This window comes from Homo sapiens, chromosome 17, assembly GCF_000001405.40.
Source record: "Homo sapiens chromosome 17, GRCh38.p14 Primary Assembly".
In the NCBI taxonomy this organism is placed as follows: domain Eukaryota; kingdom Metazoa; phylum Chordata; class Mammalia; order Primates; family Hominidae; genus Homo; species Homo sapiens.
The window spans coordinates 17741231-17758183 of NC_000017.11; the positions used below are offsets into that span (position 1 = coordinate 17741231).

Sequence of the window (16953 nt, forward strand, 5' to 3'; positions counted from 1 at the left end):
ATCTGACCAGCAGAGAAAAAAAGAGAGAGAAAGGAAAAGAGAAAAAGAGAGATTAGTGGGAAGAAAATCCGATTCTGGAGTTACCTTAGTTACCAGCTCCTAATGACTCGCAGGGCGGGCTCGGCCACCTTCCTGAGCAGGGGGACCCTCCCTCCCGGGCCCCTCCATCACCCCATTAATAAGACGGGGCCCTTGTTCATGAGTTCTGCCACAGAAAGGGAAGAATCAAGGACTTTTCAATAAGAGAGAACTCCCTGGGTGGTTTTGAATAGTTGCTTTTTGTGTGGCAGTGCGGGACTCGTCCTCGGCTCTCTGCCCTGGCCGCCTCCCTCAGCTGGCTCTGTCTGGAACTGCCTGCTCCTGGGTCTCCAGATGGATGAGCTTGTTTCTCCGGGAGCTCAATCCTTTATTGTTCCTGCCTTTCCCCTCCTGACACCCTCAGCTTAGCAGAGGCCACAGGCAGCCTTTGCGTCTCAGGAAAGCAAGAGAATCCCCGAGGTGGTTCTAAAAAGGCTTAAAGCCCGGGAGTGGGGCTCAGCATGAAGGAAACAAAAGCACACTCCCCACATCCAGGGTGCTGGGCCTGTCGGCCAGGGCCAAGCTCACGGCCGTTGCTTCGGTGCCAGTGGAAGGGGAATGAATGGAGGAGAGACTGGGTGAGGGAGATGACGATAGAACAGGAGGGAGATGGGTAAATCCGTTTTATCAGACGCTGCATATCTTAGGAAAGCACATTTCAGCTCTTTTGGCTTTTGGCAAGCTGGTCCTACCCTTTAATTTTCTAATAAAAAGGAATTACGTTTGCTGAAAAGGCAGTAACCAGCTTCATGTCAGTGTCTCTTGTGGAGACCATAATTCCCGTCTTGGGTGCCTGCCGGCTCTGGGGTGGGAGGTGGGCTTCTGTGGCCACGGGTGATGATATTCAGGAGTCAAGGGGCAGGGACGTCAGGGCCCACAGCAGATGCCAGGCAGTGCCACATGGCTTTGCCCTGCTTGCCCCACCCTGGCCTGTCCACTCCCAGCCCAGCCTCTGATCATGGTTCCAGGCTCACCACAGACAGGGCTGGCAGAGGCTCCCAAGACTCACAATAGACACTTAATGAATATTTGTGGAATGAATGAAGGAATTCTTACTGCCGAGGCCTGAGGTAGCAGGCAAGTTGCTCAGAGGGTCAGATCTTGGTTTGAATGAATGAATGAATGAATGAATGAACGAGTGAATGAATGAATGAATAAAGGAATGAATGTTCTCCAGAGTCTGAAACTATCTATCTGGAAGGACTAACCTCCAACCAACCCCACTCTCCCTAAGCTCTGGCACTGAATTCACTGGAAACTTTGCCAAAAATAATATCCCCTCTGCTTTTAACAAATAATATGCACTCGTTTTAAAAGAGAGAGAGAGAGAGAAGTGTGTGAAGTCGCAAGTTCATGTCCATGCTGTCCCACACCTGAGTCCCCCAGAGCCAAGGGTGGGCACCCTTAGAAGGTCCTTTAGACCTTCCTCCAGGCTCTGGGAATCCCCTGCATTTCTTATCTGGTTTGGGGGTCCTTGCACACGCACTGTTCTACAACCCTATGGGGCCCCTCGGCCATCCCTGTCCCCAGTGAGATCTGGATGTGGTTCAGACCTCCCTGGGCTGCAGAGTGTCCCTTCCTGCTCTCCAACCTGGGAACAGGAGCCAGGTATTTATGTAAGTCTCTGTGGGGTGAATGTAGGAAAACATTTTTGCTATTACAACTCCCTTCATTCCAGTCCCTGATTTATTGATTTTTGAGACAGGGTCTCCCTCTGCAGCCCAGGCTGGAGTGCAGTGACATGATCACAGCTCACCATAGCCTCAACCTCCCAGGCTCAAACCATCCTTCCACCTTAGCCTCCCGAGTAGTTGGGACTTACAGTCACATGCCAACATACCCGGCTAATTTTTAATTTTTTGGTAGAGGTGGGATCTCACTATGTTGCCCAGGCTGGTCTCCAACTCCTGGGTTCATGTGATCCTCTTGCCTTGGCCTCCCAGAGTGCCTCCCAATGGGCTCACACCCCAGCCCCAGTTTTAAACAAGATCCTGAAGGCAGAACACTCACCATGGGTAGGCACTTGATAAATGGTAGCCTTTGTGATTTGGGAGGAATCTGTACCCAGTGCTATGCTTGGTTCCACATCCTAAGCATTGCTTGTGCCATACTATATGCCAGGCCCCCAGGGCGCAGGAACACACGGTTCCAGAGGGGTGTGGAGGCCCCTGAGTGGCAGCGTCCAGGAGCCCAGTCGCTGCCCCTGCCCGCAGCAGCCCATCACTGCTGGTATCCAGCCTCCTTCAGACTGGTGTATGCCACTGGAAACTCCAGGACATGTGCGCAGCAGACCCCACACACGTGGTTTCTCTGGGGCTGCCTCCTGACCCCAATGGGCAGGCACCAGGTCTCTGAAGCTCAGCTGGCAAATGTAGGAGCAGCCCAGGATTTGGCTGGTTGGGCACATGCACGGCTCCCGTCCTAGGACCTGACTTAATCTCAATCCTTAGAGGTGGCCTGGGAATCTGAATTGTTACTAGCCTCTTGGCTGCCATGGATCCCTTCCAGGATCAGGAACTGGCATGAGGCATAGGAGGGCCAAGGACATCTTTTAGGCTGCATGGAGCCCGGATCCACTCTGCAGCCCCTGGCTGGGCCGTAGGAGAGCGGGCAGGCTCAGGGCAGGGAGGGGAGCTAAAAGGGAATGGAGGGGAGACCAGCAGGAGCTCTGTCTGCCCGATTCTGGTTTGGGCTGTGAGACAGTCATTGCATTTTTTTGCACAGTTCTGGCCACACAGTATTTAAGAGGCTTTGCCTACAGACCTGAGTGACTGTGTGAATGGTGGCACTGGTGCATACGGGGACGCCTGAGGAGGAACAGATTTGGGACTTGTCCACCTAGGACTCCCTGTGGGATTGCCAGTATCACCCCTCTTCGTCATTAATTCCCAGCTTGCCTGGGGGAGGCCAGGGGGTAGCATGGGGTTCGGGTTCCCCTAGGGTTCAAACACCAGCCCATCTGCCCTGGGTGGCCCTTCCCTGCTAAGAGCCTCAGTCTGCTGTTCTGTAAAGTGGGTCCAGCCATTTCTGTACCCTCAGGGTGGCCATGAGGGTCAGTAGCCAGAAAGGCAAGGCCCCACACAGAACTGGTTCACAGAAATAGCAGGCAGTTTGTCAGGGGCAGCCTTGGCGTGGTTTTCATTCAAAATCATTTTTTAATTCCAAAAGAAAGGAAATGGTTGTAAATAAAGAAGGGAAGGCCGGGCACGGTGGGTGGCTCACGCCTGTAATTCCAGCACTTTGGGAGGCCGAGGCGGACAGATCACGAGGTCAGGAGTTCGAGACCAGCCTGACCAACATGGTGAAACCCTGTCTTACTAAAAATACAAAAATTAGCCGGGCGTGATGGTGCGCACCTGTAATCCCAGCTACTCAGGAGGCTGAGGCAGGAGAATCTCTTGAACGCAGGAGGTGGAGGTTGCAGTGAGCCGAGATTGTGCCACTGCACTCCAGCCTGGGTGACAGGTTGAGACTCCGTCTCAAAAAAAAAAAAAAAAAAAAAAAAGGAAAACTGTAGAGGCACATAAACAGGTCAGAGTTCCTGTCTAGGCTTCCCTAGAGGTCTTTACTTTTACTAGTGTAATCTGAGTCTTTGACTCTGTTTGTGGGCATTTACATACACAATTAAATCTTTACTGTGTACCTACTGTGTGCTGAACCCCGAGGATTTCAGACCTTGAGCCCTGCTGTTAGGGGCTCTCACAGTCCTGGTGGGGAGACTGACCCCTAAGCTGATAAATGACCCCTCCATGGGGAGTGGGCCTGTAAAGTGATGATGGAAGAGGGTCCACAAAGGAGGGAACTAACTGTGGGTTGGCAGGACAGGGAATGGGGATCGGGGAACCTTGAAGGGACATGGAGTGTGAACTGGGACTCCACAGAGATCACAAGTTTTTAGGTAGAAGAAAGGAGAGGGAAAAGCTTGGAAGAGCATATTCTAAGGAAAGGGAGGTATTTGGGATGTGCTGACTTTGGAGTCCCTGTGGGATGGCCATGATCAACCCACTGTAGGGAGCCACCAAGGGGTTCTGGATCTTGGATGCCAGGCCATGGAGTTTCTGTTTTATTCTCTAAGTCAGGGAGCCATTGAAGGCTTTTGTGTGTGTGTGTGTGTGTGTGTGTTTGTTTTTGTTTTTGTTTTTTTTGAGACAGGGTCTGTTGCCCAGGCTGGAGTGCAGTGGCACGATCTCGGCTCACCGCAACCTCAGCCTCCTGAGTAGCTGGGATTACAGGCACGTGCCACCACGCCTGGCTATTTTTGTATTTTTTGGTAAAGACAGGGTTTCACCATGTTGGCCAGGCTGGTCTCAAACTCCTGACCTCAGGTGATCCACCCGCCTTGGCCTCCCAGAGTGCTGGATTATAGGCATGACCAACCACACCCAGCCCTGAAGGCTTTTAAGCAGGGAGGTAAGTGAGCTGGTCCAGCATGTGTTTTTAAAAACTCTTTCTCCAGCAGAGCTTACAGAAGGGTGAGCAGGGTGTACCCGGGGGGCTTGTGTGGAGTCCAGGCCAGGCAGGGACGGTGGCCAGCGGGTGGAGGAAGCCGTGAGGATGTGGCCGGAGGAGAGGGGCAGGCTTGGGCCCTGCGAGGTGGGTGCTGCCCTGGGCCATGATTGGGCATGAGTGGGGAGCCGAGCCATACCATGGCCGGGGACAGGGACTGGGTGCGTTGTTCCCACATGAGCGTTGTGGAGTTGGCATGCATTGGGAGGCATCCCTCTGGGCTCAGCCCCTGCCTACCAGGCCACCATTGCCCCTTTCTTGGCCAGCAGATCCTCCACCAGCACCTGTCAGCCCCGAGCACTGGAAACGGCAGCCGGCGGGGCCTTTGTGCTTCAGGATTCCTTCTCCAGGGACACGGGTGATAGCCAAGCCCGGCAGATGCCCCCGGGGGTGCCACCGTGCCCCCACTCGCCATCTCCGATGCTCAGCTGCTCCCCAGAATGAAAGACCTTGTCACAAAGGGAGGCAGGGAGAGGATGCGCTTCCGTGCCGCAGCCCATCTGGGAGCCAACGTTATTTTCCTGATTGAAGGAAACATCTGTTCAGTCCTCTTTCAGAGCGAGGCAGGCAGCGGACTGGGTCGGTCTGGCTCTGGGCAGGAGGTAGAGAACCTGGGCTGAGCCCAGAGCCCCTGCCCTAAGGGGTTTAAGAGGAGCTACCACCGTTCTCTGTCCCTCCCTAAACTGGGAGTTCAGGAGCTCCTGCCATCCCCTTAAGAAGCCTCGGTCACTGCCTCCCCCAAGGATGGGGGCTGCTGGGGCAAAAGCCATCGCCTGTCCCAGAGCACCATATGTGTTTTCTTTTTTTTTCTTTTCTTTTCTTTTTTTTTTTTTTTTTTGAGATGGAGTTTCGCTTTTGTTGCCCAGGCTGGAGTGCAATGGTGCTATCTCGGCTCACCACAACCTCCGCCTCCCAGGTTCAAGCAATTCTCCTGCCTCAGCCTCCCAAGTAGCTGGGATTACAGGCATGCACCACCACGCCCGGCTAATTTTGTATTTTTAGTAGAGAAGGGGTTTCTCCATGTTGGTCAGGCTGGTCTTGAACTCCCGACCTTGGGTGATCCGCCTGCCTCGGCCTCCCAAAGTGCTGGGATTACAGGCATGAGCCACCACGCCCAGCCCCATGTGTTTTCTGAGGACTCCTTCATTATTTCACACACACACTAGAGCCATGTTTTTGAAAGATACGGCTGCCAAACAAACTGCATTTATTACATAATGATTAATTCATCGCCCCCATTTCTTATTAATCAAAGACATCCATAACTGCCTATCTGAGCTTTGAGTTGGGGAGAGAACCAGCGGGGCCTCAAGCTGACAGCCTTCCCACCCAGATCAGGGGCACTGGTAGATTTGTGTCAGTGGAGCCTCATTTGGGGTAAATGCACAGTACCCCTGAGGTTTCTAGAAGAAATGGAGACAGCTCACAGACCCCCACACGTCACCTCCCCAAACCCCTGGGGCTGCCTGGGATGTTTTATAACCCCTTCTCCAGCCAGCCCTGAGCTCAGGCTGGCTGCTTGGCACTTAGCCACTGGCTGACTAGTGGCCTGTCAGAGGATGTGGAAGATGGGGTGGGCCAGTCCCTGTTGCTGGAGGCTGCAATTAGTGGCAGCCTGGGAAGGAGACTGAAGCCTGGGCTGAGGTCAGGACCACTGGGCAGAGCTTGAGGTGAGGGCAACCGACATAGGGCTGTCCTGGCAGCCCATCCTGGGCTGAGAACGAATTCTAGGGTTCCAGGGGCATTTGACACGAGGCCGGCCACACTCTGAGGTTAGGGGCTTTTTCAAAGATAGTTTGGTGGCAGGGGCCTAGAGTATGGGGAGTGCCGACTGATTGGGTTGGAGCTGCCCTCTTGTGCTTAGTCGCTTCTAGATGGAGGCCACAGGAGTGCTTGGTAGGTCCAGGTGGAGCCATCAATTGTCAGACATGCAAAAAACTTGAAAAGATATCTCAAAAGGGCCAGTCTGGCTGGGCACAGTGGTGCATGTCTATAATCCCAGTGCTTTGGGAGGTAGAAGCAGGAGGATCTTTGAGCCCAGGAGTTTGAGACCATCCTGGGCAACACAGTGAGACCCCATCTCTACAAAAAATTTAAAAAATTAGCTGAGCATGGTGGAGTGTGCCTGTGGTCCCAGCTACTTGGAGGCTAAGGCTGGAAGATCACTTGAGCCTGGGAGGTCGAGGCTACAGTGAGCTGTGATCGTGCGACTGCACTCCAGCCTGGGCGACAGAGCAAGACCAGTTCTACCTGGCTAGGGTGGCCCCAGAGTCATGGCGGAAGGCGAAAGGCATGTCTTACATGGTGGCAGGCAAAGAATGAGGACACCCAATCTTCTTTACTCATTCATCTAACACTGACTGTGTGGCCTGGCACCCACCAGGAATGTCCCTGCCCTCAAAGTCTTTACAGGCTGTTGGAGATGGGGCAGATGCCCAAATAAGTCATTGTTGTCCCAGGTAGTGCCATGCCAGGGGCCATCCAGGGAGCTGAGGGCCCAGTAAAAAGGCACTTAAACTCAAATGCATGGAGAAGGGGACAGCCAGGGTGTGATTAGGGAAGACTTCCTGAAGGAGGTGCTGCTCCGAGAAGGTTGATTGGGTGGTTTTTGTAGGGGTTTTCTTGTTTCCACTTTTTAAATAACTACTTCATGCCACATGCTATTAGGTGCTTTTCACATACATCGTCATGTTTAATTTGTACCAACAACCCTGTGAGATAGGAAATAGCTTCCGTATGTTAGCAGTGAGTAAGCTAAGGATCAGAGAGGGGAGGTTGCTTGGACAACTGGCTTAGCCATGATTAGAACTCCAATAGGTTCTTAAATGATGATAGAAAAGGTGTAGGAGGATGGGAGCCGAGGCTGGCATACCTGGCAGAAGAAACAGTGTACGCACGCGTATGTCGGTGGGGCACTGTGGTGTGGAGGGCTGCAGGGCTTGGTAGCACTGGAGTGAGCAGAGGCGAGCCTGAAAGCTGGCGGCAGGGACCTCAGGGGCCATGACAGGTATGTGAGTCAAGGGAGTGATGTGGTCCCGCTACAAATCACTGGGGGCTTCAGCCCCTAATGGGACCTCCTCTAGCTGCACCCCCCTCCCTGCCTGTGCCCTTTTTGGCACCTGGTGGCAGGCACACCTCAAAGAACTGCTGCATCTGTTCCTGCTTCTGACCTCAGGAGACAGCAGCAGGGCTGGCATGGAGCATCAGGGAAATGCACAACAACACATCAGCCCCTGGGGGCCTCCTGGATCTCCCCACGAATCCTGCAATACCCTTCACAACCATCCCCGTCCAGAAAGAGGCTGAATGGCGGCCAGCATCTGCCCGTCAGCAGAGAGTTCCCGCTCTTAGCACCAGCTCGCCTGAGCTGCCTCCAGGGACAGTCCTGCCCGCCTCCCCAGAGAGCCAGTGCTTCCGCTGCCGCCTAATAGCTCTCCCGGCTGGAGACGACTCTTGATATTTAGCCTGCGTGGCAGGAGCCTTAATAGCAGCAACTCTCCCTCCCTGCTCCTGCCTCCTGAGCCCCAGAGACAGCTCTGCTCACCTCCTAGCCGGCATCCTCCACGCACTGCCTAGGCATCAGGCGGAGGTCTTTCTGCCCACTCTTGGTAACATCAAGGAATGAATGAGCATCCAGGAGCACTTCGAGTGTGCTATTTTCTCCTCTGAGATTCAGAGATGCCCTTTGAGAGGCTATTAGCATGGCCACAATTTAAATATGAGGAAACTGAAATTCAGAGAGGGGATGTGATGGAGATGGCTCACTTTCGCTTCATCTTCCCCCCCTCTTGGTACCAGGAAGTGGACCATGCTCCTTCAGGCCTCAGGATCTTTGCCTCTGCTGGTCTTTCTTGCCTGGAACTCTCTCTCCTCCTTCTCTCTCATAGATCTCATCTCAGAGAAGCCTTCCTGCCCTGGTTTATTTACTAAGGTTGGTCCTTCTTGCCATACTGTAAGCTCCATGAAAGTGGGGAGTTCCCCTACCTTCTGTTGCTCCCCTCTGTATCCCCAGCACCCAGCATAGGGCATGTAGCTCCACTAGGGCCTCATTAAGTATTTATTGAATGAGCAAATGAGTGAATGGATAAGCACATGCCTGTACTAGTTAGGGTAAGATCAGCTGCAGCAACAAACCAACCTAGCATTTCTAGATGGAGGTTTGTATTTCCGGAGGATGGTGAGTATTTCTGGTGGGTGGAGGTTTCCTCCACATGGCAATGTGGCCGGGGCATGGTCTGCATCAAGCTGGCTTAGTGTGGAGGGTCCACCCTGGAAGGAGATATCACTTGCATTCACATTCCATTGGCTGGAGCACAGTCATGTGACCATGCCCAGCTGCAAGGAAGGCTGGGAAATGTAGTCCAGCTGTGGCTCCAAGGACGGAGAACAGGTTTTCGTGACTCCAAATCTTCCCATAGGTTGCTGTATTGGTCTCTCTAATCAGCAGAGCCAACCGTTACCGAGTCCTTGTCACTATACCCTGTTGTAAGCCCTTTTCTCAAATTAGTCCATTTTATTCTTACAACAGCCCTACAGGAGGGTATTATAATTAGCCCAGTTTACTGATGAGCAGGCAGGGGCTCAAATGACATGTTAAGGGGAAAATACCCATTAGAAACATGATGGGCCGGGCACGGTGGCTCATGCCTGTAATCCCAGCACTTTGGGAGGCCGAGGCGGGTGGATCACCTGAGGTCGAGAGTTTGAGACCAGCCTAACCAACATGGAGAAACCTTGTCTCTACTAAAAATACAAAATTAGCCGGGCATGGTGGTGCGTGCCTGTAATCCCAGCAACTTGGGAGGCTGAGGCAGGAGAATCGCTTGAACCTGGGAGGCGGAGGTGAGCTGAGATTGCACCATTGTACTCCGTCTCAAAAAAAAAAAAAAAAAAAAAAAAGAAAAGAAACACATGATGGGTGTCTGGAGATGCAGCAGCCAAAGGCTGAGACCCTCACCCCTGACTCCACCAAACATTACAGATATTCAAATAGACAGGCCAGTGTCCAGAAGAAATTTATGCGGGCTGAGCCACAGTTGCTGGCCTTTGTTTTCTCTGGTTTTGTGCTTGTCCAAGGGTGGGGAGGTGGTTGAGTACATCTCTCTGAGGGTCTGGGCCAGGGCTCAGCACTTCATCATTTCAGCTGTCCATATTTGGAGGGCATCTGTTTCCTTCCGCCTTCCACAGAGGAGGAAGATGGGTACACATGTGGCTAGTAACCATTAGCCGTCGACTTCCGGTTTTGTCTTTCTGGCTCTTTATGATTGACAAGTGCTGGCATGTTGGCCTTTCTGCCCCTTAGCAGCCCTCCATGCAGGAAAGCGGGAGGGAGGGGTGTGTGGCCAGTGCTAGGATGGGGTCTGTATGGAAGAGTAGCTCCAGGAAGTGGAGCCTCATCAAGGCAGGTAGCCCACGCTTCCCGAGGAGGTGACATTTGGTCGGGCTTTGAAGGCTAAGGTGGGAGTCTGTCAGACTGAAAAGGAAAGGCATGCCAGGCAGAGGGGCCTGTGCAAAGGCTAAGAGAGCCTGGCTTCTCGGCTCCTGTGTCTGCTTTGCCCCTAGAGCTTGCCCAGAACAGTGACCTAAGTCTGAGATCCTTCCGACCCACACTGCAGAGGGAATGTCTCCTAAAACTACTGTTTATCTCACCTCAAGCTGGTGTTTTCCCCTTGTCCGTAGAGAAGGAAAGGGTAGCAAAAAAAGAAGGAAGGTGAGGAGGGAAAGTGAACAGAGAGCGACTGGACTGAGCACCTGCTGGCTTGCTCTGCTGTGTCACTGCCATAACTCTTCCCTAGCTATGCACCGTGGCCCCTTGCTCTCCTGCGGGCACACTACTGCCTTGGGCCTTTGCACGCACTGGCCGCCTGTCCTGCCTGCAGTGCTCTTCCTGGAGAGCCACAGGGCCGATTCCTCCTTCTCCTTAGAGTCTTCTCTCAAATTACCTCTCTTGATGAGGCCTGCCAGACCACCTTATTTAAAACTACGAACCTAGTACCCGTTCCCCTTAGCGAATGTTTCCCCCAGAGCACTCAGTCGCGGTGTAACGCCCTGTACAATTTACTGATTTATGTTGCTGCTTATTGGCTGCCTCCCTTCCGTGCGTCTCCCCAACTCCTCCCATAGAAGCCACCAAGGGCAGAGTTTTTTTTTATTTTTTGTTTTTTTAATCTCTTATAGTGGTGGATCTCAAGCACCCGAACATAGTAGGCACTCAATAAATGTTTGTTGAAGTATGAGTGAATTCAGCCCTGGGCAAAACGTGACCCCATTTCACAGACTAGGAAGTGGAGGCCCAGGGTCTTGCAGCCCTGTGGGGAGAGGGCTGCCCAGCGCCCCGCAGGAGCCTCCCGCCCGGCATACCCACGGGCCAGTGCCGGGACTGGGCGCGGGGCGGCGCGCGGGCGCAGGTAGCCATGGTGACAGCGCCCCAGACTACTCGTATTTCCTGCCTTTTGTGTTCGCACATGCCCCAGCCCCCAGCCCGGGCAGACGCCCCTGATTGGCCGTCACACTGCGGAGGGGCGGGGCGGGGTGAGCGGAAAGGGGCGGGGCTGACCTGTGGGCGGGGCCCCCGGGGCGAGGCTGGTCTTGTACTGGCGCGCGCTGCCTGTGATTAACAGGCGGGCGCGGCCGCGCGCGGCTGGAAAGGGGCGGGGCTTCCGGAACAGCCGCCCCGGGAGCCTGGGATAGGGGTGAGTGCTCCTTGATGGCGGCCCCGAACAAAGGACGCCTCCAGACCCGGGCTTCCTGTCCGTAGTTTTTCTTGGCCCTTGGAGTCTGAGAGTGAGAGGCCTGCTAGGCCAGCGCCCCCTAATCCTCATCCGGCCGTGGGTGGCCAGGCACTGCAGACGTGTCCCCGGGGGCCGACCACCTTACTTGCCACGCTGGCCCCTCCCTCTCCTCACCACCACAGGGCCTTTGCACGTCATTCCTGGACACTCTTAAAGTCCTTCTTTCCGGCCGATTCCTCACCCCCTCAGGAGGCTCTCCACACAGACCGTGACCTGCCCTGCCTGGCACTCCTCTGCCCAGCGTTTATATCTCTTTTTGTGCACTCTCCGCCCTCATCACACGTGTGCCTCAGGGCAGGGCCCTGTCTGTGGCCTGGCACACAGTAGGTGCTCGGTTTGTGTTGTTGAATGCCTCCATTCATCAGGTTGCCTGAGGCTTCCTTGGTGGGTGGTGCCGGCTGTACTGGCCCGGGACTTGGGAGGAAGGGAGACAGATGTGCCTTCAGACCCAGACACAGAAGAGTTTGTCTCCAAAGCCAGGGCACTGGGTCAGTGTCTGGCCTGGACCCCAGGCCCGAGGAGCCTGGTTTGGTGTGTGCCCTTGGTGAATGGCCTACTGTGCTGGCCAGACAGGAGCCCCAGGGGCTGGCCCTGCCTCAGGAGGAAGGCAGGGTCACAGACACAGGCTGGAGGGGCCTGGAGTGAGGGCTGCTCAGGACCCCTGCCGACCAGACCTGGGAGCCCCAGCATCTGACTCTTCGTTTGTGTATTACTTGCTGTGCCTTGTCCTGGCTTGACAGGGTTGGAGTGGGGGTTGGAGTGGTAGAGCAGCGAGAAAATCTCCACACCCCTTACCCCCATGGCACTCCCACAAAACAAAAGGGAGCTAAACTCATGAAATCGGCTTCACGGTTATACATGGATAGCCTTTTGGGAGTTGGGTGATCTCTGGGGTATATACATTGTTTCCTCACCAACACCAAAAGAAAATGCAATTTGAGCCAAGCTAATAACAATGTATTAAATCAGAGCTTCCTGAGCTTTGCTGGGTGCTATAAACCACCCCGAAGTTTGTACTAGGAGCAGATTCCTGGGCTCAGGCCACCCTCAAATCACAGATTTTAAGGGGTGGGGCTCAGGAATGCCCTTTTATTCAAACTGCCTGTGTGTGGTTTTGATACTCAGTCTTAAGTCCATCATTTGAGAAATGGAATGACAGATATCTGTGTCTCAGAACACATTTGAACTCCTCTCCAGGCTCTAGAAAGTCTACCGTTCTCTGCCCCAGACCCTGGCTCCAGATTCAAGTCTAGACTGGAGGAACTGTGGATCCTTTGGGATTTGGAAAAAAGTTCTAGACCCTCTTCAGAAAAATGTGCTTGTCCACACACACTTCAACTTTGCATTGGATCTCAAGGTCTCATACCTGGGCTGGGTGGTCTGTAAAGCAGGGGAGACCTATTTGGGGAAAGGCCTCCATGCTGACACTCACCTGAACCTAGGGCCAAAGTGTATGGTTGTACAAGTTGTACATTGTACAAGGATCCCTGGAAGAAATCGAGCCACTGGCCAGCTGTGCAGCCTGGCACCTGGGGTGTCTTCCTGTTTTGTACAAAGGCATTTTATGCCATTCGCCTAACCCAATCTTTTTTTTTTTTTTTTTTTTTTTTTTTTTTGAGACAGAGTTTCGCTCTTGCTGCCCAGGCTAGAGTGCAATGGCGCGATCTCGGCTCACCGCAACCTCCGCCTCCTGGGTTCAAGCAGTTCTCCTGCCTCAGCCCCCCGGGTTCAAGCAACTCTCCTGCCTCAGCCTCCCGAGTAGCTGGGATTACAGGCATGCGCCACCACACCTGGCTAATTTTGTATTTTTAGTAGAGACGGGGTTTCTCCATGTTGGTCAGGCTGGTCTCTATCTCCCGACTTCGGGTGATCCGCCTGCCTCGGCCTCCCAAAGTGCTGGGATTATAGGCATGAGCCACTGCGCCCAGCCTCCCTAACCTGATCTTTAATTCCCCTCCTGCCTCCCATGACAACTCAAGTTAGTGGCACTAGTAAAGTTACAGAAATTATGTGCCTTAGCCATGGGAAACCGGCCCTCTGTAAACTGTTATTAAAGCCATAACAAATAATATCCGACAGCCTGTACCTACTAGTGTTCAGTTCCTGGTACTCCAGAGCCCTAAGCGTTTTTGGGCAGTGGTTGGGGGGCTGCCACCAGGCCTCAACTTGGGTTAGGAAGATAGGGCAAGGGTGCAAGGCCCGTCTCTGCACAGAGGGTGGGAGAGAGGAGTAACTACATAGTAGGTGCTTGGTAAGCACTTTCCCAGTCTACATTCATTGGGTCCATTTTATAGATCAGGAAAACTGAGGCTCTGAGAGGGCTGGTAATTTGGATTAGAGAAGGCCCACCTGTCTGGAGCGGCTTTATGAACACAGGCTTTGGAGTGCGACAGCGGGGAGGTCAGGAGAGGAGAGGAAATAGCCATAGCTGTACCCCCACAACATTCACACCATGCCTCCCCCTGAAGGCTTTGCCTGACGTTTGGACTGTTTAGAGGGCTCCTCTGAGCTCCCACAGCCTGAGCCTTCCTGTCACGGTGCTGCCACCCTGGTTTAGCAGGCCTGTTTACACACTGTCACCCCAAGAGCCTGGCAGCACCCCAGTGCTGGACTGTGAGCCCTCCACACAGGGCCCAGCGCATGGTGTGTAATACAGCTCTATGGAATGCTGAGTGGCTGATTAAGTGGGCTCTAGCTTCTGGCAGCTTTGCTCCCTGGGTGGATGGGGCGGGAGTGATGCAGAAAGGAGAGGTGTAGGCCTAGAGTTAGGAGGGCAGGGAGAGCACTGGGCACTGGAACCACTTGGCAGGGTGAGTTGGCATTCCCTGTTTGCCACGACCTTGGGGTCACCCTCACCAACTTGCCCCAGCTGGGCCTGACTGAAGGGCAGGGGGCCTGGACATTGGAGCCCAGGGAGGGCAGAGGGTGGTAGACTCAGGAGAGAGCTCTTTGTTTGGGGGCATTTCTCCAGCAGAGACCCTTAGTCCCTCCAAGGAGCATGTCCTCCTCCATCAGTCAGTGTCCTAGCCAGCAGGGGTGCGTCCCCCCAGATCCTTCCCTGCTTATCCTATCCTGGGCCCAGCCATGCTTTCTCCCATGGGGTCATGTCATCCTGACCCTCAGATTTGGCTGGGTCGCCCCAGGGCTCTCTGACAAAGCCCAGCTCCTCCCCTGGCACCCAGCATCCCTCAGACCCGGCCTACACCCTGTCAAGCCCGCCTTCTCTTCACCCCAAGGCCTGCCGTGCCTCACAGCTTGGGCAGGGCTGTACCCTCTGCACACATCACCCTTCCCTATCCCCAACCCTCTCCCTTTAGTGATAAATCCAGCTGGCCGCTCTTTGCAGCTCACCAGGGACCAGTGTCCCCAGTGCGGCCCTCGGTGCACCCAGTCCTTACGTGAGCCCTAGCCACCATGGAAAGCCAGGAGGGCCTGGCCAGCCTCCATGTGGGGTCTGGTTGGTTATTGCAGGGCCTGTTGGGACTGCCTGTGTCCCTGTTCCCCTGGGACAGGAGTTCTGGAGCCTGCGAAACTTAAGCATCCATCATGGGACCTGGCACGGGGGTGCCTGGCCACAGCAGGAGTGAATGAATTTTTTTTTTTTTTTTGGAGACAGAGTTTTGCTCTTGTTGCCCAGGCTGGAGTGCAATGGTGTGATCTCGGCTCACCGCAACCTCTGCCTCCCAGGTTCAAGTGATTCTCCTGCCTCAGCCTCCCAGGTTGCTGGGATTACAGGTGCCTGCCACCATGCCTGGCTAATTTTGTATTTTTATTAGAGACAGGGTTTCTCCATGTTGGTCAGGCTGGTCTGGACCTCCTGACCTCAGGTGATCCACCTGCCTCTGCCTCCCAAAGTGCTGGGATTACAGGTGTGAGCACTGCACCTGGCATGAATGAATTTTTTTATTTTTGGAAACTCCTTTGAAATAGTGTGTTTGCTTTCCACTGTCTTGTTCTTCACCTTTACCTCCCTTACGTATAAAGGTAGATGCAGTCAAGTAAAGTGTGCTAGCTTCAAATCAGAAAATCTCCATAGAGTCTTCCGCAAATCCTTGAGCGCCTACTACGTGCTAATCTGTCCCAGGTGCTCAGGACACAGTGTGAACAAAATAGACCAAAAATCCTCTTAGTGAAGCAGACGCTTGAGTCGGGGGCACTGGAGAAAGCAAATCAGTTCGTCGGTAACGAGGCAGGGAAGTGGACGGGGAGGAAGAGGGGCTTCTGTGAAGGTGTGCTTGGCCAGGCCTCAGGCTTCCCACCTGTTCACTGGGGTGATGTGCTTGCCCGGTGGGAACGGTATTCTGTTCATGACTGTTGCCATTGTTATTAACCGCATGCCCATTGCCTTTCAGAGTTTGTGGGCCCTCTCGGGCAGCCCCCAGAGGGTGCTGAATGCCGGGCCCTGTGTACACTTCACCCTATCTCCGCGGGGTCAGGCTGGCCACCTCCATTTACAGAGGAGCAGATGGAGGCCCAGGGAGGGATAGGGTGGTGTCACATGCTTGGAGCGGGGTCCAGGGAGAGCTCTTGGCTCCCTGAGGCAGGGAGACCCTGAGCCCAGACACACCCCAGTTTATAAGTGGGGACAGCTGTGGAGGTGTTGGGTGCTCAGCCCTGGGCCTGGCTTCTCTGGCCTGAAGACGGCAGCTCATCTGGCTGCAGAGTCAGGAAAGATTTCCTGAGCCTGGACTGAGAGGCCAAGGTGGGTTTGCGGAGGCAGGAGAGAGCTCCAGATCAGGAGGCAGTGTGGGCCAAGCCGGGGGGCGGCAGGATGTGAGCACAGAGAGGGCAGCAACCCTTCTACAGACCAGTTCAATTCCAGTAACCCCAGCCTGCCGTAGGGGTGGGGGACAGCCTGGCTGCAGCGGGGCCCACCTGCCAGTGTGTGCCTTGCCTGCGCTCCACCTTCCCCCTCGGGCACTGCGGCTTTCTTGGGACAGCAGGACCCCAGTTAAACAGCCCTGTTTCCTGCCCAGCCGTGGCTGCCGCCTCTTCTCGGAGGATTTTTTTTTCCCACAACTCAACAACCACTACCACTTGCAGCTAAGCAGAAGGGAAGTTAGGACTCGCATTTTGCCTCTGTAGCGCCTGTAATCAGCCCCACACAGCCCCCGCCGCAGGCGCCCATCAGTGCCACTTCCGGAGACTACTTGAGATACACCTGCTCACGCTAAAAGGAGAAGCAGTAATCCATCAAAACAACCCCAGGCGCCGGGGCGGGAGAGGCTGAGACTCAGTTTCCCCTCCCATGGAACAGGGCAGTGTTGGGCATCTGAAGTCCCCACGGGTCCTGGCATTCTGGAAGAACACGACTCAGTAGCTTTCCCCTTCTGGGCCTCGGTTTCCCTGTCTGCCAAAGGTGCAGGGAGATGAGCTCCCAGCTCATGCCTCTGGGCCTCCTACCTCGCCCCCACCCTCATCTCTCCCTTTCCAGAGACATTATAAATCAAACGGCTTAGAACGTAAGGCATCAGAAATTCTGAAACCTTCATCTATTATTAACGCTGACAGTAAATTCCCCCTCCGAGCGTTTTACATAGCAACTGTTACCAAGACTCGGTGGTGGAGCTGCTGCTCC

General features: G+C 54.3%; 1 protein-coding gene across 7 annotated transcripts in view, besides 6 other annotated features; it reads left to right on the plus strand.

Annotated features, from left to right (window-relative positions):
- The window catches only part of RAI1 (retinoic acid induced 1), a 129996-nt gene that overhangs the window by 59773 nt on the left and 53270 nt on the right, over positions 1-16953 (plus strand). Inside the window, exon 1 of one of the 7 annotated variants that reach the window (XM_047435150.1) lies at positions 11175-11276. The exons of the other annotated variants lie outside the window; for them this stretch is intronic. The gene's annotated coding sequence lies outside the window, so the exon portion shown is untranslated. Of the gene's footprint in view, positions 1-11174; positions 11277-16953 lie in introns of those variants that run through there. 7 annotated transcript variants of the gene reach the window in all.
- Positions 1831-2332: an enhancer, noted in NCBI's record as "H3K4me1 hESC enhancer chr17:17646375-17646876 (GRCh37/hg19 assembly coordinates)". NCBI's record gives its function as "activates a minimal SCP1, AML or CMV promoter by ChIP-STARR-seq in naive H9 embryonic stem cells {active_cell/tissue: H9 hESC(naive)}" and the evidence as "EXISTENCE:reporter gene assay evidence [ECO:0000049][PMID:30033119]".
- Positions 10391-10510: an enhancer, noted in NCBI's record as "active region_11808". NCBI's record gives its function as "activates an Ori minimal core promoter by ATAC-STARR-seq in GM12878 lymphoblastoid cells {active_cell/tissue: GM12878}" and the evidence as "EXISTENCE:reporter gene assay evidence [ECO:0000049][PMID:35858748]".
- Positions 10851-11320: a silencer, noted in NCBI's record as "silent region_8252". NCBI's record gives its function as "represses an Ori minimal core promoter by ATAC-STARR-seq in GM12878 lymphoblastoid cells {active_cell/tissue: GM12878}" and the evidence as "EXISTENCE:reporter gene assay evidence [ECO:0000049][PMID:35858748]".
- Positions 10851-11726: a biological region, named in NCBI's record as "H3K27ac-H3K4me1 hESC enhancer GRCh37_chr17:17655569-17656270".
- Positions 11025-11726: an enhancer, noted in NCBI's record as "H3K27ac-H3K4me1 hESC enhancer chr17:17655569-17656270 (GRCh37/hg19 assembly coordinates)". NCBI's record gives its function as "activates a minimal SCP1, AML or CMV promoter by ChIP-STARR-seq in primed H9 embryonic stem cells {active_cell/tissue: H9 hESC(primed)}" and the evidence as "EXISTENCE:reporter gene assay evidence [ECO:0000049][PMID:30033119]".
- Positions 16306-16405: an enhancer, noted in NCBI's record as "active region_11809". NCBI's record gives its function as "activates an Ori minimal core promoter by ATAC-STARR-seq in GM12878 lymphoblastoid cells {active_cell/tissue: GM12878}" and the evidence as "EXISTENCE:reporter gene assay evidence [ECO:0000049][PMID:35858748]".